A 24,274-nucleotide genomic window follows, 5' to 3' on the forward strand; every position below is an offset into this window, starting at 1 on the left:
TGGGTCGGTGGACCCCTGGGCTGGCGGCGGGAGCAGAGCATCGAGCGGCTTTTAGCTGGGGTTCGGGCGGAGGACCTGGGACAACCGCGGGCCTCGCTCCTCCCCGGACGGGGCGGGACGGGGAAGTCCCGCCCACCAGGCCCAGGCCCCGGGCCGCCCCGAGGGCTGCGCCCACCTCCTTCCTGCCTCGGCAACCCCGGGCCCTGAGGGCAGGCCCCAACCGCGGAGGAGCAGGAGAGGGCGGAGGCCGGCGGGCCATGCCCTGGTCGTCCCGCGGCGCCCTCCTTCGGGACCTGGTCCTGGGCGTGCTGGGCACCGCCGCCTTCCTGCTCGACCTGGGCACCGACCTGTGGGCCGCCGTCCAGTATGCGCTCGGCGGCCGCTACCTGTGGGCGGCGCTGGTGCTGGCGCTGCTGGGCCTGGCCTCCGTGGCGCTGCAGCTCTTCAGCTGGCTCTGGCTGCGCGCTGACCCTGCCGGCCTGCACGGGTCGCAGCCCCCGCGCCGCTGCCTGGCGCTGCTGCATCTCCTGCAGCTGGGTTACCTGTACAGGTGAGTGCTTCGCCCCGGGAGGGGAGGAGTGTCGGAGCCCAGCACCTCCGTCAGCTGGGTCACCTGTACAGGTGACACGCCATATGCCGGGAAGGGGACTGGGAGAGGGAACCAAGTCCTGTGGGCGCCTGGCCTACAGGTGAGCGTGCAGCCCTTTACGGAAAGGGAATCCCGGTAGACTGCCTTCATTCTAGCCCTAGCTTTCCTGGCACAGGCGAAGAAACTGAGGCCCAGGGAAGAAAGGGAGGCGCATGGGCTTTGAAGTCGGACCTCTCAGGGATCCACTTCTGGCTTTGCCCCCTCTCGCCTCACTTCTGCATTTCTCTGAGCCTCAGTTTCCTCCTGCGTAGAAAGGAGGTAGTCACCCTGAGACAGGTGTGACGGGCAGGCCTGTTGTGAAGAGTGAGCGAAAGAATGAGAAAGTGCCTCGCACAGTGCCTGGCCTGTAATGGCAGGGGCTGCGGACTCAGTTCAGCATCCCATGTTTCAGCATGGGCAGGGCCTTGGGAAGTCACTGACCTCTCAGTGGGGCTGTTTGGTTGCTGTTCCCATTGGGATGGGGATAGCGCCTGCCCGTTTGGTGAAGATGCAGTGAAATGACATCTGTCCACTGCCCTGGCTCAGAGTGAGCACTCAGCAACCTCAGCTGGCTTCTTGACCTGGGCCTCCCTGGGAGTTTCAGCAGCCCTGACCCCACCACAGCGCTTGCCCCTCACAAAGGCCGCCTCTCACCCTGTCTGCCTGGTTGTATTCTTCCCCCTGAAACTTGGCTTCCCACCCCAGACCCAGCAAGAGGGCAGAGATGGCCTCTGACTCATCCATGCCCATGGAGCCAGCCAGGGCTGGGCATAGGCTGGGTCCTGGAAAATGTGTGTGGATTCTGCTCCTTTTTGGACCTGGTGGAGCCTCGTAGAGATGGGAAAACAAACCCAAGGCTCAGAGGCATGCGACAAAGTCAGGGCAGAGGGTGGTGTGGGTTGGGATGGGGTGGCCAGGGCCAGGATCTGCTCTTGAATCCGTTTTTACAAACTCTTGAGATCTGGCCTTGACAAAGCCACACGGAGTCTCCAGGAGTGGAAGAGAGGAGCTTTGAATGTGGCAGTTTTGCCTGAGGGATTATAGAGACATCAGAAAACCCCGGGTGGGCATGAAGGGGTGCAGTTGTTAAGTCCTGGGCAGGCCTCCATGAGCCGTGAATCTGTAACTACCTTATGCATCTTTGTGGCCAATATTTCTGCTGAGCTTGAGTCAGACAGACTGTACTAGCTTTGGCTTTGGAAATGGGTCTCTGTTCCTGCCTGTGAATTGGCCGAGGCAGGGGTCCCTGCTAGGTCACTGGGGACCATAGGCAAAGGCTCCTGCTGAGGGAGAACCCCAGCCTGTCCTGCCTGCCTGCTCCTCAGTGTGTTCTTGTGTCCTTCCAGGGGAAGTGACAGTACATGTCTGGTGAATGAGCTTGTGATGAGTGAACGGGGTTCTCTCCCAATAGGCAACTGAGAGCAAAGTTCTGGGTGGAGGGTCCTTGGTGCATCCTCCACTTACTCTTCATGCCAGTGGGTACCCCAGACCTGTCTGTCCAAACTCTGGACTCTCTTAACTCCGCCCCAATCTCCATCCTTAACCACTCAGGGCCAGCCTCTTAAATGGGATCCCTCCTTCCAATCTAACCCTCCTCCAGCCCCTCCCCTGTGTGGCCGGGGCAAGGCAGAGTCTGATTCCATCTGGCCTGTGCCCAGAAGTGCCCAAGAGGCAAATGTCCTCTTGCCCACAGGACCCCAGGAGATCTTGGGCACACTAAAGTTTGAGAACTACTGCCTCAGGCAACTTTATAGCATGCCTTTCCAATTCAGGTTTGGATCCAAATCCTCATTCCAGTACTTATTAGCTGCTTATAATTTTTTGTTTGTTTTTTAAAAAGAGGTAGGGTCTGGTCAGGCTTGGTGGCTCATGCCTGTAATCCTAGCAGTCTGGGAGGCTGACGTGGGTGGATCACTTGAGGTCAGGAGTTTGAGACCAGCCTGCTGAACATGGCAAAAGCTCATCTCTACAAAAATTAGCCAGGTGTGGTGGCGCATGCCTGTAATCCCAGCATCCCAGCTACTCTGGAGGCCGAGGCAGGAGAATCGCTTGAACCTGGGAGGTGGAGGTTGCAGTGAGCCGAGTTTGTGCCACTGCACTCTAGCCTGGGCGACAAGCGACAGATGTAGACTCTGTCTCCAAAAAAAAAGAAAAAAAAAAAGAGAGAGAGAGGCAGGGTCTCTGTTGCCTGGGCTGGAGTGCAGTGGCACAATCAATCATGGCTCACAGTGGCCTTGAACTCCTGGGCTCAAGCTGTCCTCCTGCGTCAGCCTCCTGAGTAGCTTGGACTACAGGCTTGTACCACCACGTCCAACTAATTAAAAAAAATTCTTTGTAGAGATGGGGCTTGCTGTGTTGCCCAGGGTGGTCTCAAACTCCTGGCCTCCAGTGATCCTCTTGCCTTGGCCTGTCAAAATGTTGGGATTACAGGCGCGAGCCACTGCACCCAGACCTTATTAGCTTCTTGATCCTGTTTCCCCATCTGTAAAATGGGCTTTTGTGAGAAGTAAACAGGACAAGGTTTGTGATGAGCTTGGGACAGTGCTTAGCCAGCGGGAGTAGAAGGTGTATTGATCCCCATTTTTGCTTTTTTGTTTTTTTTGAGACGGAGTCTTGTTCTGTCGCCAGGCTGGAGTGCAGTGGCACGATCTCGGCTCACTGTAACCTCCGCCTTGCAGATTCAAGAGATTCTCCTGCCTCAGCCTCCTGAGTAGCTGGGACTACAGGCGCGCACCACCACACCCAGCTAATTTTTTGTATTAGTAGAGACGAGGCTTCACCATGTTAGCCAGGATGGTCTCAATCTCCTGAACTCGTGATCAGCCCGCCTCAGACTCCCAAAGTGCTGGGATTACAGGCATGAGCCACCACACCCGGCCTCGATCCTCATTTTACAGATGAAACAAGTTCAGTGAGGTTAGGACATTGCCGAAGGCCCCATAGCATGGATGTGAGGAGACAGGTTGGAGCCTGTGTCCACTCATTAGATGGGTGGGAGGCTGAGGAATTCACAGGACACTAACCTGGCCCTCTGGGCATTTGTGTGTGGTGCCTAGGTGCGTGCAGGAGCTGCGGCAGGGGCTGCTGGTGTGGCAGCAGGAGGAGCCCTCTGAGTTTGACTTGGCCTACGCCGACTTCCTCGCCCTGGACATCAGCATGCTGCGGCTCTTCGAGACCTTCTTGGAGACGGCACCACAGCTCACGCTGGTGCTGGCCATCATGCTGCAGAGTGGCCGGGCTGAGTACTACCAGTGTGAGTGAAGGCCTGTGGCTGGCCCCCCTGTCGTGGCTTGGTGGGGGGTCTCTCAAATGTTGGAACTGTTTTTAGTCTTTTATAAAGGCTGCTTAGAAAACAGGAGAACAGGCTTTAGTCAGGCAGATCTGGCTTGAAACCTAAAGTCACTCTACAGCTGTTTGAGTTTGGACAAATGCCTTGACCTCTCTGAGTATGTTTGTTCTCATCTGAAATATGGGCTTAAATCCTCCTGCCTCATAAGGTTGATGAAAGGATTAAATGAGGTGATGCAAAGAAAGCCCATTTCCTGGTACATAAGTTCCTGGTACAGAGTCTCACTCTGTCATCGCCCGTAGTGGAGTACAGCAGCCTGATCATGGCTCACTGTAGCCTCCACCTCCCAGGCTCAAGTGATCCTCCTGTCTCAGCCTCCTGAGTAGCTGGGACTACAAGTGTGTATCACCATGCTGGCTAATTTTTCTTTCTTTTTTTTTTTTTTTTTTTTGTAGAGACGAGGTCCCACTTTGTTACCCAGGCTGGTCTTGAACTCCTGAGCTCAAGTAACCTCCTACCTCAGCCTCCTAAGGTGCTGGGATTACAGGTGTCGCCCACTGTGCCTGGCCCACAAGTCTTAATTGTAATTTTTATAATTTTGAAGATAATGAAGTGTGTAAGGTGCCTGATACAGCATAGGTAACTTTTTAGTTAAGAAACAATTTCATACGTTGGGAGGCCAAGGTGCACAGGTCGCTTGAGGCCAGAGTTGGAGACCATCCTGGGTAACATAGTGAGACCTCATCTCTTCAAAATTTTAAAAGAGAAACAAGAAACAATATATTGAATGCCTTCATCCAGTCAGGTTTTCATTGTGCATCTCTTCTGTGCCTGTTACTGTGCTGGGGACACAGCAGTGAACAAGATGAACCCAGCCCCTGCCCTGCCAGGATGATAGACTAAAACAAGTAGCTACGGTTGAGTGACTGGAAAAGGGAGAGGCAGGGAGCAGAGGATCACAGGGCCCCCTAAGCATGGGTGAAGTTTACAGTGAGGAGCTTTGGGAGGGTTTTTGCATGAAAGGAAAGTGACTTGCCCATTTCCACAGACCTGGACAGTGGCCAAGCTAAAGAGGGCCCCCACTCACATCCGACTCAGGGTCCAAGCCTTCCCCTTTGCCTTCCTCCACCGCTGCCATAAATGCCACAGCCTCTCAAGAAACCAGTCCTCACTCTACCGTCACTCGCTGTGTGACCTGGAGAGCCTTCCTGTGGAAGATGGAGGTTGGACTCGATCTCCAAGGGCCCTTTCGTCTTGCTAGTCTGAGTCTATATATTGATTGAAAAAACAATAATAGCGGCTGTCACAATCGAGTGCCAGCTATTAGCCAGGCCCTGTGGGAAGCACTTACAGTCATCATTGCTCATGTTCACAGCAGCCCTGTAGGTTTGTGCTATATTGATCTTCATTTTTAAAGAGGTGCAGAAAGGTGAGTGACTTGCCCTGGGTTACTGGGCACTCACTGGGCACACGTCTTTGTCTGTTGAGGGTTGGGGGTGTCTAGAACCAGGGCCAAGTGCAGACAGTCTGCACTGTGAGTGTGGCAGGGGGTAAGGGGGCGAGACAGATTTTCCCTACTTTTTATTTAGCAAACATCTCTTTCGCTGCTGTTATGTGCCAGGTACTGGGCTGCTGGGGGATCCCAAGTGAGCAGAGTCTGTTTTCTACCCTCGAGGAGCCCAGAGATAAGGAAATAGATAATTACTGTGTGATGAGACTCCAGACAGAGGTGGGTGGCATGTTACAGGGATACCTGACACAGCTGAGTGGGTGGCATGGGGTCAGGGTGGGTGACTCCCGGGGCTCTTCAAGCTGGGGCCTGCGGGGTAATGGAGGAGTAGGCCGGGGAAGTGGGGCCTGTGCTTCTGGCGACCTAACATCCTGGGCAGAGCTTGTCAAGGTCACGGAAGGTGGCATGCTGGGCAAACTGGAAGAACATCAGCCCTGCTGAGACCTGGGCAAGGCTAATGAGCACAGATCTGTTTCCAGGCTAGGAGTGGGTTCTGGGCGCCTAATAGGTTCCCAGTAAACATCTGTCGAATGACTGCGGTGGACGGGGACAGGGGAGGAAGCAGTCGGGAGACGTGCCGGTGCCACTTCCATCCCTCCCTGGAGGCCCTTGTGCTTCTGCTCCAGGATTGGCAACCAGGAGGTGGGATAGGACCCCTGTTGTAAACTTCTGGATCTTGGAAAATCAAGGTTAGGGGTCAGTCCGATGGCCTCTGGTCTTGGAGGGGAGGGGAGGGGAGTGGGGAGACCTTCTGTCCACACAGCAGGGACATCTCTCCTGGCCCTGAGGGCAGCTTTAGCCAGAGCCTGTTGCCACCCCATGGGATTTTCTACTCCCTTTTTGAGACTAAGAAAGACGGAACTGAGACTGTTGATTTTTAGACACAAGGAAGGCTTGTGTTCTTCCCAGAAAGAAAGGGTTATGGGGCCCTGGAAGATGCCCAGGATGCAGCCAAGGCCCAGGGGTGCTGAGTGCTGGGTGGGCCACAGGTCACATCCTCTCATCTTTGACAAATACCACCCGGATAGCACCTACGCAGCAAAGCGCTGTGGTGAGGGGCAGGCTCTATATTAGGAGTCATAGCTTTGTTTTTGGTTGTGGGAACTCACTGGGTCTTCTCTAGCTGCAGATTTGCCTTCAACAAACGAGGGATTCTAATACCTACCCCAGGGTTGCTGGGAGGGCCCCCACGGTACCTGTGACCGCTGGGGAGTGCCAAGCAGGCTGGCCCCAGGACTCACTGTTCCCTCCTACTCTTTGCAGGGGTTGGCATCTGCACATCCTTCCTGGGCATCTCGTGGGCACTGCTCGACTACCACCGGGCCTTGCGCACCTGCCTCCCCTCCAAGCCGCTCCTGGGCCTGGGCTCCTCCGTGATCTACTTCCTGTGGAACCTGCTGCTGCTGTGGCCCCGAGTCCTGGCTGTGGCCCTGTTCTCAGCCCTCTTCCCCAGCTATGTGGCCCTGCACTTCCTGGGCCTGTGGCTGGTACTGCTGCTCTGGGTCTGGCTTCAGGGCACAGACTTCATGCCGGACCCCAGCTCCGAGTGGCTGTACCGGGTGACGGTGGCCACCATCCTCTATTTCTCCTGGTTCAACGTGGCTGAGGGCCGCACCCGAGGCCGGGCCATCATCCACTTCGCCTTCCTCCTGAGTGACAGCATTCTCCTGGTGGCCACCTGGGTGACTCATAGCTCCTGGCTGCCCAGCGGGATTCCACTGCAGCTGTGGCTGCCTGTGGGATGCGGCTGCTTCTTTCTGGGCCTGGCTCTGCGGCTTGTGTACTACCACTGGCTGCACCCTAGCTGCTGCTGGAAGCCCGACCCTGACCAGGTAGACGGGGCCCGGAGTCTGCTTTCTCCAGAGGGGTATCAGCTGCCTCAGAACAGGCGCATGACCCATTTAGCACAGAAGTTTTTCCCCAAGGCTAAGGATGAGGCTGCTTCGCCAGTGAAGGGATAGGTGAACGGCGTCCTTTGAAGCAGGATCAGACCCAGCCAGCAGAGATGGAGAGTGACTCTGTTGGCAGAAGGCAGGCGAGGATAAGCTAACGATGCTGCTGTGGCCTCTATGCACTCAGCAAGAGCGGGACGCCTGTGCTGGGCCGGGCACCAGGGATGGTGCTGAGTCGGGCAGAGGCCTCCTTTCAAGGAGTTCACAGTGAACAAGATGAGAAGGGCTGGGCCCTGGAGGGTCAAGAGCCCCAATTATGTACAAGACACTTTGGGAGGAAAGAAGACTACCTTTTCCCCCTGCCATTGGTATAGCTGGTGCCCCAAAACTTCCACCTCCCTCCCTGGCTACCTCTAAAATGACTGGTATAGGTGCTGCCCCACCCCTTAGCTCCCCTATCCTGGGCTAGGAGGCCACAGGGGCTGTCCTCTAGAATTCTTCCTTCCCTCCCCCACACCATTCATTCAATTCATGAAACAAATCTTTGCCAAGAGCAGTTTATGTGCCAGGAACATCATTCTGTCCTTGCAACCTGGAACAAGACCAGCTACCAGCCTAGCTTCATCCGCTACTTGCACCAACCAGTCCCGGGTTAGATCCCAAATGCTAGAAGCCAGGGATGCCCAACTCTGGGTGGCCCCAGTCAGAACCTCTGGGATCTCAGTGAAGCTGGCCTGGCCTCTGCTCCTGCTCTCAAGGGGCTGCTTTTCAACCAAGAGCCTTGTGAGCCTGGTCTGAGCCTTGCACAGCCACTGAGTATTTTTTTTGCCTTAGCCAGTGTACCTCCTACCTCAGTCTATGTGAGAGGAAGAGAATGTGTGTGCCTGTGGGTCTCTACAAGTGACAGATGTGTTGTTTTCAACAGTATTATTAGGTTATGAATAAAGCCTCATGAAATCCTCCAACCTAGTCTGTGTCATCAAACGAAATCCCCTATGGAGTTCAGAGCCTGAACTGGAAGAGATCAGGGACATAAAATCTACCTCTCAAAATCAGTCAAGGTCCACGAACAGAGAGAGGGCTGGCTTAGGTGGGGTTTCTCAACCTCGTGTTTGAAGTTTCAGGAGCTGGTGAGCCAGCGTGGGGTAGACAGCTCAGCTGGAGATCAGAATCCAGATCTGGGCTGACTTAGTGCATCCTCTTCAACACCAGCTCTGCTGCTGGGCCCAGCAGGAGTGGCCACAGACACATTTAGGGCCAAGAAGTGAATATAGTTGCCTGGTGAAGAAAGGTCTTTTTGCTGGGAGCTCTGAGAGGTTAAGTGATGAGGTGCCTCAGGGGATGTGGATGTGGTGGGTGATGGTGCTGGGGAAGTGGAACCTTTTGCTGTTCTAGGAGGTCCATGGTTTGGAGAAACGGGACAGAAAAGTCAATTGAGATAGAGAAGAAAATGTTCTAGTCACTGCTGTGATGGGATCCAGGATAGTCTCAGCTCTGTTACTATTCTGGTGGAGACACAAAAACCAGGATAAGTAAAACATTTAGTATATCAGATAGTGTTAAGAAGTGCTAAAAGAAAAAGGGAAAGGGATAGGGAGAGAGAGTAAGTATTTGTGTGTTGGGGGTGGGAATTACAACTTTGTATAGAATGGCTGGGGAAGGCCTTCCTGCAAAACCGGTAAGCTGGTTAGCAGTGACTTGGGTGTGGCCTATAAATGTCACGAGAAGGAGCAGAACCTGGAGTCACTGGTAGCTTGAACCACTGTGGTGGAAGGAATGATGCAAACAGAATTCCACCGGATGAATAAGCACTTGTAACCACTCTGTTGGCCTGGAACTAAAGATGACCCAGAGATGAAGGGTGGGGGCAGGGAGAGGATCTGAGATGATGCTGGTGACTTTTACATACAAGCAATGGTTAGAGGCAGAAAGGATCCTGCAGATCATCCTGTCTAGTGATTTTCAGGCTTTTGAATATCATGTACCTATAAAATGGCCAACATGGTTGCAACTTAATTTTAACAAAAAAGGGCATTAAAAACTACCACCATTTGGCTGGGCATGGTGGCCCACGCCTGTAATCCCAGTACTTTGGGAGGCCAAGGCGGGTGGATCACCTGAGGTCGGGAGATCGCGACCAGCCTGACCAACATGGAGAAACCCCATCTCTACTAAAAATACAAAATTAGCCAGGCGTGGTGGCGCATGCCTGTAATCCCAGCTACTTGGGCGGCTGAGGCAGGAGAATTGCTTGAACCCGGGAGGCGGAGGTTGCGGTGAGCCAAGATCGTGCCATTGCACTCCAGCCTGGGCAACAAAAGCAAAACCCCGCCTCAAACAAAACAAAACAAAACAAAACAAAAAACTACCACCATTTATTTTCATCATCTCATAAAAGGATGTACCAATCTTAGAACAAAGACCATTCTTCTAATTGAATACATGTAAACATACACACACACCTGAAATTGCAGGAAGAGATGGAGATGTTTATCTACTCTGTGCTTGAAATCAATGCCTCTAATATTTGTATTTATAACTGAGTAGGGATATAGCAGCTAACGCGTTTGCTTCAACTAATGTGCACCTAATGAGGAAAACATTTAATAACTAGAATAGGCAACTTCCTCTTTTCTGGGGAATTTTTGGAAAAATACATCTTATAGTCTGACATGTATGGTACTTGGAAGCTAGAACCCAATTCTGATTTCCTTCATTGGACTAAAAGGCAGAAAGGCTTTGTGACTGTTTTCCAGACCAGAGGGATACAGCCAGACCCAAATCAGAGAAATGAAATGAGAAAAAGTAGTTGATGTGACAGGAAATCAGGGCAAATCAAATGAGGTTTGGTATCAGTTTGTCAGTTTTATCGCTTTTGTGGTTTAAGTGCAGTGCAGCAAGGTACTGATTTCTCTCCTTAATAAATTTCAGCATATTTGGAAGTGAATGAAATCTTTTCTCACTCCAGTTCTAAACTTTAAAAGCAATATATTTTAGAAACAATACATTCTCCCATACAAATTATTTTAAAATATTTTCCCATGTATATTTATACCAAATGGTTTGTTCTTACTTTTTTGGTGAAATGACCCAGTTACTGAAAGGGTGACATCTTTCTAATGAACTCTTAGAATTTTTATGAAGCCATAATTAGGACCCCACACAGCTGGGCAACTGTGCTGATCCTATTCAGAAAAGACACAGGAGCAAACTATAGAAAATAAAAACTTTATTTTTTTCAAGTTTATAAGATAGTTCCCATTACATATAACATTACGGTCACGGATTCTACAGCCACAAATGCCCGCAGTCACATAAATATATCCAATCCAATCAATGCCTTTTCCTGCTAACAGAGGCATCTGAAGTTCAGAGGGAGAGTCGCATTTTGAGTAGAAGTCGTCCTTAATGGGAGGGCTCCTGTCAGTGCATTAGGAACTAGCCAAGGAGCCTTGCTTGCCAGAGCTGTCTGACTCAGAGGAGAGGAAGGGACAGATGGCCTGCTGACTGGGGCTGAGGCAGAACTAGATTTTCTCTCTTGTGGTTTAAGATATTTTAGAATCTCGGAATTCAGATCCTATAGTGTGAATATCTGGGGAGTTCTAACTTCTGGATGAAAAAGGAAACCAATTTAGTGGTAAGAAATAGAAGCCTGCTTAAGAGGGACCCTAACTGCCTCCTTGAGGAGTAAGGAGTCAGAGGAAGACCCTAAGCTCACCATTCCTTGGCCCAGACCATTGCTCTACCCCATACTCCTCTCCCCTGTGGTTCAGTGACACTGACAACCATTCAAGGTAGTAAACATCTAGAAGCTCCACATGCTGCAGCTAGAGTTTGCAAGTCAGATTCTATTTGGAATTTTAAAGCTGAGTTTGTGTAAACTGCGAACAAGCTGTGGCATCAGTCTCTTGGGACAACTCACTAGCTTTACAGAAGACAGGAACGCCGCAAATCAAACAAAAGCCCAGATGGGCATCTAAATCTGGAGCAGGTGTCCATTCTTCTGGACACTACCAGCTGCCCCAGGGGCACTGGACAGGGTGATGCTAAGGCACAGTCAGTTTTACATTCGAAAGTCAAGCCACCTCCTCAACCCAAGACACACCTCACTCCAGATCTACTACTAGAGAGAGCCCTCACCGTGACATTACAGACCCATCCTGTAGAACCCACAGTGCCTGGCCAGGCATGGTGGCTCATGCCTGTAATCCCAGCACTTTGGGAGGCCAAGGTGAGCAGATCACCTGAGGTCAGGAGTTTGAGAACAGCCTGGTCAACATGGTGAAACCCCATCTCTACTAAAAATACAAAAATTAGCCAGGCGTGGTGGTGGGCGCCTGTAATCTCAGCTAATCAGGAGGCTGAGGTAGGAGAATCGCTTGAACCTGGGAGGCGGAGGTTGCAGTGAGCCGAGATCATGCCACTGTACTCCAGCCTGGGTGACAGAGCGAGACTCCATCTCAACAACAACAACAAAAAAAAAAAAAAAAAAAAAAAGAGAACCCACCATGCCCAGCTAGGGAAGGACTCATCATTTGGCTAATTTCATGAGGACTCTAATGAAGAGGGTCTCCCCCTTGATGAATGGACCCACAGTGTCCTTTGGTCCTCAGCTTCTAACAGCTCTTAATCCTACCCACTTATTTTCCTTTCCAGATTTTTGTGTTGGGGTGGAGAAAAAGGCAGGGTAATTACAGAGAGCACTGTGTTCCCTGGACAATTCATTTTGGCAAACAGCCAAGAAGCTCCTGTTTTCTCTCTTCCATTTAAATGAGGGTGGCAACAACCAGGAATGAGCAAAGACTGCTCTGCTCAGCCTCCTTACCTCTCTTGGCCAAGTTCAAGTTCCTTTTGGAAAGAGCTAAGCTAGGAAGTCAGAGTAAGAGGAAAAAGGCCAATGATAAAAGTGAGTTCAAGTTACATTCTAAAATAAAGAGCTCCCAAAAGGGTGGAGAGGGAAGTATCTGTGTGTGTGTGCTTGCGTGCATGGTGGGGGTACCACTCCGCAGCCTCACAAACCTGAAGCGCAGCACAACAGCCGTGGCCTTTGTCCAGGACAAAAACCCAACAGCTATACTGCATAGGGGGAGGGTTTGAGGCCTCAGAGTAAAACCTAGAGCTTCCTAAGATCAACCATCAAACAAGGCAGAGCAGCATCTAGGCAACTATGCTGAATACAGACCAAGGGAAGGCCTACCTCACACTACATCTCCCTCCTCCCAACCCCACAGGAAACAAGGCCAAAGAGGCAGCTAAGTAAAGGAGCACTGACTTCAGCTACTCAGCAAAAACTTACTCCTTAAAATCACGAGTTATGAGCGCTTTTCAATGAGTTCTGAAGGAATGTGTATACCAGCCTCTCTCTCTTGCTATCTGGGTGGCCTGGCATTGGAAGGAGTCTTGCCTCTTTGTGCTGCAACATCTCTGGAAATGGGTATGCAGAATCTCTGGTGACAAGCAATTATAGCTGGGGTTGGTCAACAATGCCTCCTTCTGCGGACCAATCCTGCATCTCAATCTGAGGTGCTTGTATCATCTCTCTCTGTGTAGCCTGGGAGAGGCTGAACTTCCTCAGCTCTAGGGAATTTTATCCTGCCTGAGTAGATGCCCAAATTGCTCTTGGAGGGATGGGGCATCCAACAATCATGGCTGGGCTGGAAGGCTGTGACTAGTGCCTGGGCACCCACCAATCTGCCCAGAGGTCGAGAGATGCTCCTGCATTTGGCCCAGGATTAAGTTTTGGGCCATGAAGTAGGGAATGATGCAGTACTCTCATTTAAATCAGGAAAGTCTGGCTGGGTGCAGTGGCTCATGCCTACAATCCCAACACTTTGAGAGGCCGAGGTGGGAGGATCGCTTGAGGCCAGGTGTTCAAGACCAGCCTTGGCAACAATGTGAAAACCTGTCTGTTTCTCCCTTCCCCCCACAATCAGCAAAGTCTTTCTGGTTTCCTACTTTAGAATGGGATTTGAGAAGCAGGGTTTTCCATGGGAAAATTTAAATACAGCAATCTGCTCTTCAGTTTCAGGCAGAGATCTGGGTAAATACATACCTGGGACATCCTTCATATGGCTTAGGGCTTCCACAAAGGAAGTCAAATACATTGGCAGTTTTGGCCAAAATGTAGTTATAAGCATGTTTTTAGATTTGATTTGAATTCTTGGGTCTAATACCCGGGGACTGGCCAGAGCTGCCTGGAGGTGGACATGAGGTGCAGAGGGCAGGAAAGGGGTAAGAACCTAGCATTATGATGACCAAGAAGGAAGAAGCTGCAGGGACGAGCATCTGATGGGAAATGGGTGCTTCTCTGCAGGGGGAATAGGTAGAACCTTTCGGTCTCAAGAGCCAAGAAGCTGAAATTCATAAGACACTTTAGTTCCTTCTCTCCAGTTTGGAAGCTAAGCCTCCTGTGATACAGTCTGAATGACAGTCAAGCTGAAGGAGTTTTTAGGGTTGTGCCATTTGACTAAAGGGAAAAGGGACTGGAAAGAAGACTAAGGCTTCTAGATGGGAAATGCCAAAGTTTAAGTTACTCAGTGTCCAGTGCCCCACAGTTCACCAGCTAGGAGATAGAAGAACAGGAAAGGTATCATCCTAGAGAGCAGACCACTGGAGCAGCTATAGAGGTGCTACTGCCACAGGGAGGTATTTTAGATATTTCAATTACTATTTTCAAGACTTTAAACACCCCTTCTTGCTAGAAAAAGAAAGTGGGGGAAACCTGCGTCAAAGATCAGACCCTTACCTATAAAAATAACATACACATTCGCTGGAAATAAGTGAGATTCTAAGCTAAGGAGACTCTAAGACTGCAAGAGATGTTATCATAAAAGTCTGCTGCATTTATCTGATCACCACAAGTTATCAGTAATTCTCAATCTGGTCATGGACTAAGAGTGCAACTCTGCCCCAGGAATTTCCTTTTCTTTTTCATTTTTTGAAAACAAAAAAACAAAAACAAAACACAGAAAAATTAAAAGCACTGTAGCTGCAGTGAGTCCATTGTTCTCTCTATCCAACTGTCCCTGCTTCTGTATGGAGATGAACACGGGGCTGCAGCTCACTCTTAGCAAAAATTGCAGCTGTTGGTTCTGATTGTGTTCTCGCCAGCATTCCATGGATAAAGACAGAGAGAGAGAGAGAGAGAGAGGCAGAGAGGGAGGGAGAGAGGAAGGGAGGGAGGGAGAGAGGGAGAGAGAGAAAGAGAGAAAGAGAGAGAGATAGAGACAGAGACACAGAGAGAGACAGACAGAGAAAGTTCTCAGTTGGTTCCAGTCTCCAGCTCCCTTCAGGAGTGAAAAGGAGCTCAAGGGGAAGGCTCCTCATTCCAGTTCTTAGAGAAAATCAAGCTCTAAAGCCTGGTGAAGGGATACTAGGTCTCCATGGTTTGTGATCCTCCAGAAAGGCATGTTGTGCTGGAAGAGAGTGGGAATAGCTGGTTAATCCAACTTCTTCTGAGAGCTTATATAAATATTTGCCCATACTCTTTCCTCAACACACCTCTCCCCAAGGTACATGGTAACCCTATCTATCCCTGCCTCATAGGGCTGTTATAATGATCAAATAATCATATGCATAAGGACCTTGTACATTGCACACTTTAGAAATGTGAGAAATTTTAAATAGGTTTCAGTGGTACTTTGTGCTTTTGAGAGATTACCTGTTCTAGCTATTATTTTGAAGACAGGGTCTTGCTGTGTCACCCAGGCTGGAGTGCAGTGGTGTGATTATAGCTTACTGTGGCCTTGAACCCCTGGTCTCAGGTAATCCTCTTACTCCAGCATCCTGAGTAGCTGGAACTACAGGCATTCCAGTTATCATACAGGGTCTTAAGGATCAAATAAAATGGCCCAGGTGAAAAATTAGTATTTGATATAAGATTATACTGTCTCATGGATGGTCAATTTCTTGTAAGTTTCAGAACTGCAACACCTAAATCTTATCTATGTCCAAGATGGAGAATGTACAGATCTGGGAAATAATAATCCCATTATATTATGTAGTCAAAATCATGTCCAGAAAACTGTGTGCTGTTCTGGAGGCCATATTTTACTTTTTATTTTATTTTGAGACAGGCTCTCATTCTGTCACCCAGGCTGGAGTGTAGTGGTATGAACATGGCTCACTGCAGCCTTGACCTCCTGAGCTCAAGTGATCCTCCCACCTCAGCCTCCCAAGTAGCTGGGACTAAAGGCATGTGACACTATGCCTGGCTAATTCTTTATTTTTTGTAGAGATGAAGCCTCACTATATTGTCCAGGTTGGTCTTGAACTCCTGGGCTCAAGCAATCCTCCCACCTTGGCCTCCCAAAGTGCTAGGGATTACAGGCATGAGCCACTGTGCCTGGAGGCCATATTTTTTTTTTTTTTTTGAGACAGAGTCTCACTCTGTCGCCCAGGCTGGAGTGCAGTGGCACGATCTCAGCTCACTGCAAGCTCCGCCTCCCGGGTTCACGCCATTCTCCTGCCTCAGCCTCCCGAGTAGCTGGGACTACAGGTGCCTGCCATCACACCCGGCTAATTTTTTACATTTTTAGTAGAGATGGGGTTTCACCGTGTTAGCCAGGATGGTCTTGATCTCCTGACCTCATGATCGCCCGTCTTGGCCTCCCAAAGTGTTGGGATTACAGGCGTGAGCCACCGTGCCCGGCCGATATTTTTAAATTAAATTAAATTAATTTTTTATATTTTTTGAGACAGAGTCTCACTCTTTTGCCCAGGCTGGGGTGCAGTGGTGCTATCTCAGCTCACTGCAACCTCCACTCCCAGGTTTAGGTGATTCTCATGTGGAGGCCATATTTTAAAGGAGGGCTTTGATAAATCCAAGTATTGGAAACCATGTTCTATGAAGCTGAGGAGATTAACTTTCCTATCATCTAGTTGAAACTGGTTCCAAGTTACTCAGAATATTGAGGTCCTAGAACACAGTTATTTTGGCATATACCCTAGTTGTTTTTCAAGACAGCTGCTCACACATAATATTTAAAAGGCTATTAACATACAGAAGAGGAAACCGACTTGTTATGTTCAAGAATGCCAGACTAGAGGCCAGGTGCAGTGGCTCATGCCTGCAATCCCAGCACTTTGGGAGTCTGAGGTGGGTGGATCACCTGAAGTCAGGAGTTTGAGACCAGCCTGGCCAAAATGGCAAAACCCTGTCTCTACTAAAAGTACAAAAATTAGCTGGGAGTGGTGGTGTGCACCTGTAGTCCCAGCTACTTGGGAGGCTGAGGTACGAGAATCGCTTGAACCCAGGAGGCGGAGGCTGCAGTGAGCCAAGATCATGCCACTGCACTCCAGCCTGGGCGATGGAGTGAGACTCCATCTCAAAAACAAAACAAAACAAAAAAAAGAATGCCAGACTAGTATGTGAAGGTAGAGAAATTTTTGCTCAGTGGAAGGGGGAACACCCTAACAGCTTGGTTGATCCCACGGTGGAATAGGCTACTGGGAACCAGTGTCCTCATCCTTGGGCATATTCAAGCAAGGACTAGAGAGACTTCTGTCAGAAAGGCTGCAGAAAATATCCTTCACAGAGTATAGGTTGAACTGGATAAAGTGCTAAGGCATTTTCCAATTGGTATATACTTTGTTTGTTTTTTTTGAGACAGGGTCTTGTTCTGTTGCCCAGGCTGGAGTGCAGTGGCACGATCTCGGCTCACTGCAACCTCCGCCTTCAGGGTTCAAGCAATTCTTGTGCCTCAGCCTCCCGAGTAGCTGGGATTACAGGAGTGCACCACCATGCCCGGCTAATTTTTATATTTTTAGTAGAGACGGGATTTCACCATGTTGGCCAGGCTAGTCTCGAACTCCTGACCTCAGGTGATTTGCCTGCCTCAGCCTCCCCAAGTGCTAGGATTATAGGCATGAGCCACCGTGCCCAGCCTCAATGGATGTATTCTGTTGTAGATGATTAAAGACATTAGCTCAGAGTTACCAACTCTGCTGATGAGTTGTTCTCTCCCCCATACCCTTCTTCAGACCAGGAAACATTGATGCCTACACCCACTAGTGTCTTTCCCAAAGAGGGCAACAAGAAGCACTTTAGAATCAAAGCTTCATAACATATGTGAAAAAATAAGGATCCCTGAATTGCTACATAAAGTGACAAATGAAAACATGAGATAATAATGCCAACTGATTACCAATCTCATAGTTTATTATAGTTGCTAAGGTTTCCACTTAACTGGATGAAGAGTATCAGGGCAGTTGGTTCTAGCTGGCAACCCAATGCCTCCATGTCTAAGAAATAGAGTTGCTGGAAGAAAATAAATTGGGATAGGGAGGGAAAGAACTTCTACAGATCCATTTAGCAGATGAGGATACTCAAAGAGGATAATTGTTCAAATTCACATAGCTGAGACACAGATGGGATTTTAAGTTCTATAGCCAAGACTCTTTCATCTATTGTTTCCTATATTAAGAAGGGGTGACCTGGGCCAGGCGTGGTGGCTCAAACCTGTAATCCCAGCACTTTGGGAGGCCGAGGCAGGCGGATCACAAGGTCAGGAGTTCGAGACCAGCCTGGCCAATACGGGAAACCCCGTCTCTACTAAAAATACAAAAATTAGTTGGGCATGGTGGCGGGTGCCTGTAGTCCCAGCCACTTGGGAGGCTGAGGAAGGAAAATTGCTTGAACCCAGGAGGCGGAGGTTGCAGTGAGCCAAGACTGTGCCACTGCATTCCAGCCTGGGAGATAGAGTGAGACTCTATCTCAAAAACAGAAAAAAAAAGAAAAAAGAAAAAAAGAAGGGGTGACCTGAAGTTGGGACCTGTATAGTGGTGGGGTTAACATCAGAACAATCTTTCCAGGGCTCAAAGGCAGGAAAGACTTTCTCTACAGAAACAGCTATTGGTTGTACTGTCTGAGAACTTGAAGCATGGAAAAGAAAGAATGATTAGCCTTTTTGCAGTCAAGTCTGATGCTTGAGAAGGCACTGTCTTTGAAGATGGAAGATGGGGCACATCTCAGGTTTAATGATGGGATCCCTGTAGAAGGGCTTAAAGATTTTAAGATTCTTGAGTGACAGGGAGGAAGAGGAAGGGATGGATCTAAAAACTTAAGAGGAAAAACTCCATCTGGAGAAAAAAAAGACCCTCTTTTTCTTTAAAGAAAAATGGGAGAGGAAGAAAGAGAAAATATTATAAATGCATAATAGATTGCTAAGATTTTGTAGTTTTTCCCATTTTTCTCATTACTCGATGTACAACCACATAGACTATTTTTCTTTACCATGGTTACCTGTTTGGCTGCAATTTCTTCATCTCGTCCATCTCCAATCACTACATATGTGACTTTCTTTCCAAACCTTGACACAATTCTCTCAAAGCAGCTCTCCTTACCTGATGAGAAAAAGAAATTTCCTGTTAGAATACTCTTCTCTTCTTTTCAAAACCAAAGAAGAGGGCTGCTGCTAGGTTCACCTGCCTGTGCTTAGGTGGACTAAGTGACAGCCCATGTAGTTTGCTTGCTGGGGAGTAGGGATGGGAGCTAGAGATCCAGTAGACCCTCTGCCCAAAGAATGTGAAGTTGTGCCATTAAAATAACTTGGCCGGGCATGGTGGCTCAAGCCTGTAATCCCAGCACTTTGGGAGACCGAGGCGGGCGAATCACCTGAGGTCGGGAATTTGAGACCAGCCTGACCAACATGGAGAAACCCCGTCTCTACTAAAAAACAAAATTAGCTGGGCATGGCGGCGCGTGCCTGTAATCCCAGCTACTGGGGAGGCTGAGGCAGGAGAATCGCTTGAACCCGGGAGGCGGAGGTTGCAGTGAGCCGAGATCATGCCATCGCACTCCAGCCTGGGCAACAAGAGCGAACTCTGTCTCAAAACAAACAAACAAACAACCCAAAAACTTATTTTAACCTTCACGTTGAGGGTGAAGTCCCTAAGATCTTAGTGTGAGGGAATTTCTATAAATGGGAAAGATTAATAGGTTTAGTGACTTGCCCCTAGATCACAAACAAGCAAGTAGCTAGAACTTGGGGCCCCTGACTCCAAATCTAGGCTCTGGTCATTGTGTCATAATGAATGAATGATTTTTGGGGTGAAATGTTTTAGGGTAGAAAAGAGAAGTGAAAACACAAGGCCCTGATTTCTTGTTAGAAACAATAACAAACAAAAAGCCATTTCCCTCCAATTCTTCATTTCCCAGAAACAGTCCTGGGTATAGGCCTTACGTCTTTCAGTGAGAGAACAGCCCCAGAATAGAACTGAGAACAGTGACCAATAAATATGGCATCAACATTTGTCATATCTGGAACCTCCTTACTTACTATACCTTGTAGTTGTAACCAAGATACTGCATCACTGAAATTGACCTTGGGAAATGGGTGATTTAAATCCATTTCTCAGAACTGCAGACAGTTTTGAGAAACATGGCAGTGTATCAAAACTCAAATCCCATCTGCAACCAACACCTAAAACATACACAGATCATACTGCTGTGGGAAAGATACTTTATTTGTATAAATAAAAAGAAGTTATATCCCTTGCTCTTTTTATCTCCCTGCTTCTGCCACCTTCTTCAGTTAAACAAGGTCCTAACTTTGGCTTTCTTCTTCATCCTGCTCTATTAACCTTCTTGTTCTTTCCCCTTGCCCAACAGAGTGACTTAGCACCAGGGTTCCTGTGTAAATAAGATAAAGCTGCCTCTTCCTCAAGACATTTGACTGCCATCTGCTGGAAAATCACTGTAATATATAAATATACAAATCTAAGATAACTGTAACATAATTGGCCAGAACTTATACTTCCATACGCAGAAGTCCTACTTGGCACAGAAGTTGTGCAGATATGTAACTGCAAATCTTTGACATCCTTAACCCAGTGGCACTTCAAAACAGACGGACTAGTCAACTGGACCAGACACTAGATCACTCTGGGCTCAGCTGGCCACTTACAATACAAGGCTTGGCTTAGGTGCACTTGGGTCTCTTTTAGTGCTAATATTTTACAATAGAATTGTCATGCCTTACATTCATATGAGGGATTCAATCAATGTTTGCTGAGTAAATTCATATTAATCTCACAAATGATTCAGTGGAGGACTGTAGTCCAGGTCTTATGCCTCAATTCAGTTCAAACATTAAACCATTCAACTAATAATAAATTCTTATTATGTTCATGGTGTTGAAGAGTTCTTTAATTCCATTTCACCCATTACAGCTTTACAAACTAAGCCAACCTCCACCAGATGCACAGTCTACTATGATCTGTCTGTAGCAAAAAACTTTTTTAAGTGAGTCAGTTTGACTTTCTTGTAAGACTCAACAAAGGCAGTAACTCATATTTTGAGGATAAGAACACAGACATTTTCACTGTCCTGGCATGCAATGATCAAGGATGAAATATACTCTGTAATGTCTCCTTTAAAAGGATTAAGAGGCCAAGAGAGTTATTAACAGCTCAAAGTAAAGAAGCAGCTCCATGAAAACAGGACTCACTCCAATACAGTTGGTAAAATACTTCCATTTCTGGATATGAGCTTTCCTGTTCAGGAGGATGAGGCCAATGATTAATCAGTTTACCATATGTCAAGCAATTGAAGCTGGTGAACTGTAAGATCAGCCAAATCTTTGGAGAATATTAGTCCCTGGGTTTTCTCTATTAAAATATTTCTAGCCAGGAGCGGTGGCTCAAGTCTGCAATCCCAGCACTTTGGGAGGCCTAAGGCAGGAGGATTACTTGAGCACAAGAGTTTGAGATTAGCTTGGGCAACACAGTGGGACCTTTTCCCTACAAAAAATTAAAAAATTAGCTGGGTATGGTGGTGGAACACGCCTGAAGTCCTGGCTACTCAGGAGGCTGATGTGGGTGGATCGCTTGAGCGTGGGAAGGTTAAGGTTGCAATGGGCTATAATCGTGCCACTGCACTCCAGCCTAGGTACCAGAGTGAGACCCTGTCTCAAGAAAACCCCCCAAAACAAAAAAAACTTCTGACATTTTCAGAAATTATTTTGAGAATTCTCTTTAATGTCCCCAAATCACAGAATGGCCATTAAGAGAACCATATTTTGCTATCATTTCAGAGGAAGTGAAAAAGTATTTCTTCTCCTTGCTCCCATTTCACAGTTCTGTGAAGAAAAGCCTCAAGCCTCCTACTGTGGTTACCATAGCACCAGATCCCACTGCAGCTTTGCAAATTAGCTCTGGATGAACTGAGACTGAGGAAAAATACCAAATAAGCACACTTACTGACAGAGGGAATGAGATCATTTCCATTAGCCTGATGAGCCTGCGGGTGCCAGGTCTCAGTATAATAAGCACTACAGAAAATCTGTCTTTCAGATGTGGGAGGCTCAGTGAGTGCTCTGGGTTCCTATGATATACATAAAGCAACCGGCAGCAGGAACAATATCTGAAGGGAGCGCTTTCATATATGTTCCCTTCCACCCAATCCCTTGTAAATGAAATAATTCAACCATACAAAAAAGCATGGAGAATTACCAGCCTTGACAACAAAGTGAGACCCCATTTCTACAAAAAATAGGAAAAGTTAGGCATGGCGGTGTGCATCTATAATCCCAAGCTACTCGAAAAGCTGAGGTGGGAGGGTTGCTTGAGCCAGGGAGGTCGAGGCTGTAGTGAGTCGTGATCACTGAACTCTAGCCTGGTGAGACCCTGTCTCAAAAAAAAAAAAAAAAGAAAAAAATGCCTACCACCAACGAAGCTTTGTAAAATCTTAACACTTCACAGTTGCTGTATTTATTTACTTATTTATGAGACAAAGTCTTGCTATGCCATCCAGGCTGAAGTACAGTGGCACAATCATAGCTCACTGCAGCCTCAAACTTGTGGGCTGAAGTGCTCCTCCCACCTTAGCCTCCAGAGTACCTAGGATTGTAGGTACAAGCCATCACACCTGGCTAATTTTTTTTTTTTTTTTTTTGAGACAGAGTCTTTCTCTGTTGCCCAGACTGGAGTGCAGTGGCGTGATCTTGGCTCACTGCAACCTCCGCCTCCCAGGCGCAAGCAATTCTCGTGCCTCAGCCTCCTAAGTAGCCAGGACTACAGGTGCCCGCCACCATGCCCAGCTAATTTTAGTAGAGACTGGGTTTCACCGTGATGCCCAGGGTGGTCTTGAACTCCTGAGCTCAGGCAATCCACCTGCCTCGGCCTCCCAAAGTGCTAGGATTACAGGCATGAGCCACGGCTCCTGGCCACACCTGGCTAATTAAAAAAATTTTTTTTGTAGAGATGGGGTCTGACTATGTTGTCCAGGCTGATCTCAAACTCCTGGTCTCAAGTGATTCTCCCACCTCAGCCACCCAAAGCCCTGGGATGACAGGCGTGAGCCACTCCACCTGACCCTTATAGTTGCTCTAGATTAAAAAAAAAAAAAAATCAAGACATTACAGAACAAAACTTTTCAAGTACTCCTAAAATGTAAATATTTTAAATCTTTATATAGATATTACATACTGTACATTTATCTGTCTGCAATGTTTTTTGTTCATCAGTTTTTCTTTTTTTTTGAGACAGAGTCTTGCTCTGTTGTCCAGGCTGGAGTGCAGTGGTGCAATCTTGGCTCACTATAATCTCCGCCTCCTGGGTTCAAGCTATTCTCAGGCCCCCGAGGAGCTGGGATTACAGGCGCACACCACCATGCCCAGCTAATTTTTGTATTTTTTGCAGAGATGGGGTTTCACCATGTTGGCCAGGCAGGTGATCCACCCACCCTGGCCTCCCAAAGTGCTGGGATTACAGGCGTGAGCCACCGCGCTTGGCCTATTGTTTTTAATATTAATCCTTATGAGTATATGTAATTTTACTTAATCCACTTTTAACTGCAATATAGCATTCTGTTGTTTGAATATATCTATCAATTTTCTGTTCATGGACAGGTTTACAGACCAATTATTTTCTATGATAAGCAAGTGTGCATCAAAAAAATCCTTGTACATGTCTCCTTGTACATGTAAGAATTACTCAAAGGTAGAGGTTAGCAAACTTTTTCTGTAAAGAGTCAGAGAGTATATAGTATATATTTTAGGCTTTGCAGGCCCTATGGTCCCTGTTGCAACTATTCAGCTCTGCTACTGTAGTGTGAAAGCAGCTATATAAATAAGTGGGCACGGTTTCAATAAAAACTTACACAAACAGCCAGAGGGTAGGATTTAGCCCATGGACTGTAATTTGCAGACCCCTGCTCTAAAGTATATATATATCTTAAAAGTGGAATTGCATGATCATAGGGTTATGTACACCTCAAACTTCATTAGACATTAACGTTCTCCAAAGCAGGTTATATCCATTTTCAATCCCACTTGCAGAGGCAGAGTTCCCATTACATTGTTAGATTTAAGTTTTTGTCTATCTGATGGTTGGAGAATGTACCACATTTAAATTTGCATTTTCTTGATTTGCAGTTCCTTAATTTGTGAGGTTAAGGACTTATTCATATATTTACTGACAGTTTTGTTTTCCTCTTCGGCAAACTGGTTGTTTCAAGGTTTTTGCCTATTTTTCTATATTCAAAATTGTCTCTTGCTTACTGATTTGCAGGAATTCTTTATAGATTCTGCATTCTTTTTCTTTTGAGATGGAGTTTCGCTCGTTGCCCAGGCTGGAGTGCAATGGCGCAATCTTGGCTTACTGCAACCTCTGCCTCCCCCACTCAAGCGATTCTCCTGCCTCAGTCTCCCCAGTAGCTAGGATTACAGGCGTGTGCCACCACGCCCAGCTAATTTTGTATTTTTAGTAGAGACAGGGTTTCACCATGTTGGTCAGGCTGCTCTCAAACTCCTGACCTCAGGTGATCCACCCACCTCGGCCTCCCAAAGTGCTGGGATTACAGGCATGAGCCATTAAGCCTGGCAGTTCTTCATAGATTCTGTATTCTAACTGCCAATTAAATGTGTTGTAAATACCTTATCCCAAAATGTGGGCTTGTCTTGTTACCTTTTTTCAAGAGACAAGGTCTCCTTCTGTTGCCCAGGCTAAAGTGCAGT

General features: G+C 47.9%; 2 protein-coding genes across 20 annotated transcripts in view, besides 4 other annotated features; one reads left to right on the top strand and one right to left on the bottom strand.

Annotated features, from left to right (window-relative positions):
* Positions 32 to 421: a silencer, noted in NCBI's record as "silent region_533". NCBI's record gives its function as "represses an Ori minimal core promoter by ATAC-STARR-seq in GM12878 lymphoblastoid cells {active_cell/tissue: GM12878}" and the evidence as "EXISTENCE:reporter gene assay evidence [ECO:0000049][PMID:35858748]".
* Positions 32 to 665: a biological region, named in NCBI's record as "H3K27ac hESC enhancer GRCh37_chr1:28286425-28286988".
* Positions 102 to 665: an enhancer, noted in NCBI's record as "H3K27ac hESC enhancer chr1:28286425-28286988 (GRCh37/hg19 assembly coordinates)". NCBI's record gives its function as "activates a minimal SCP1, AML or CMV promoter by ChIP-STARR-seq in naive H9 embryonic stem cells {active_cell/tissue: H9 hESC(naive)}" and the evidence as "EXISTENCE:reporter gene assay evidence [ECO:0000049][PMID:30033119]".
* On the top strand, positions 161 to 8,281 carry XKR8 (XK related 8). 5 transcript variants are annotated; one of them, XM_011541679.4, is made up of 5 exons: positions 161 to 550; positions 3,685 to 3,881; positions 5,539 to 5,646; positions 5,907 to 6,069; positions 6,691 to 8,281. In XM_011541679.4, exons 1-5 carry the CDS (start codon positions 367 to 369, stop codon positions 7,386 to 7,388), a joined length of 1,350 nt encoding a protein of 449 aa, XP_011539981.1. In that variant the 5' UTR covers positions 161 to 366; the 3' UTR covers positions 7,389 to 8,281. The 5 variants fall into 5 exon arrangements, 4 of the variants coding, with proteins under 4 accessions (XP_011539981.1, XP_047279782.1, XP_011539982.1 ...); XR_007061341.1 differs by lacking the exon at positions 6,691 to 8,281 and having other exon boundaries at positions 5,907 to 5,997; XM_047423826.1 differs by lacking the exon at positions 5,907 to 6,069.
* A 2,250-nt stretch (positions 8,282 to 10,531) lies between these two features.
* Positions 10,532 to 24,274, bottom strand: part of EYA3 (EYA transcriptional coactivator and phosphatase 3) — a 118,267-nt gene continuing 104,524 nt past the window's right edge. For 8 of the 15 annotated variants that reach the window (NM_001282560.2, XM_011541001.4, XM_011541003.3 and 5 more), the window contains 2 exons: positions 18,562 to 18,662; positions 17,458 to 17,577 (listed from right to left, as the gene is read on the bottom strand). In NM_001282560.2, coding sequence (NP_001269489.1) covers positions 17,470 to 17,577; positions 18,562 to 18,662 — 209 coding nt within the window. In that variant the 3' untranslated portion in view covers positions 17,458 to 17,469. Of the gene's footprint in view, positions 14,735 to 17,457; positions 17,578 to 18,561; positions 18,663 to 24,274 lie in introns of those variants that run through there. The other 7 variants (NM_001282562.2, NM_001282561.2, NM_001990.4 and 4 more) reach the window with 1 other exon arrangement.
* Positions 23,232 to 23,432: a silencer, noted in NCBI's record as "peak136 fragment used in MPRA reporter construct". NCBI's record gives its function as "represses an SCP1 promoter by STARR-seq MPRAs in K562 erythroleukemia cells {active_cell/tissue: K562}" and the evidence as "EXISTENCE:reporter gene assay evidence [ECO:0000049][PMID:32103011]".

This window comes from Homo sapiens, chromosome 1 (assembly GCF_000001405.40).
Source record: "Homo sapiens chromosome 1, GRCh38.p14 Primary Assembly".
In the NCBI taxonomy this organism is placed as follows: Eukaryota; Metazoa; Chordata; class Mammalia; order Primates; family Hominidae; genus Homo; species Homo sapiens.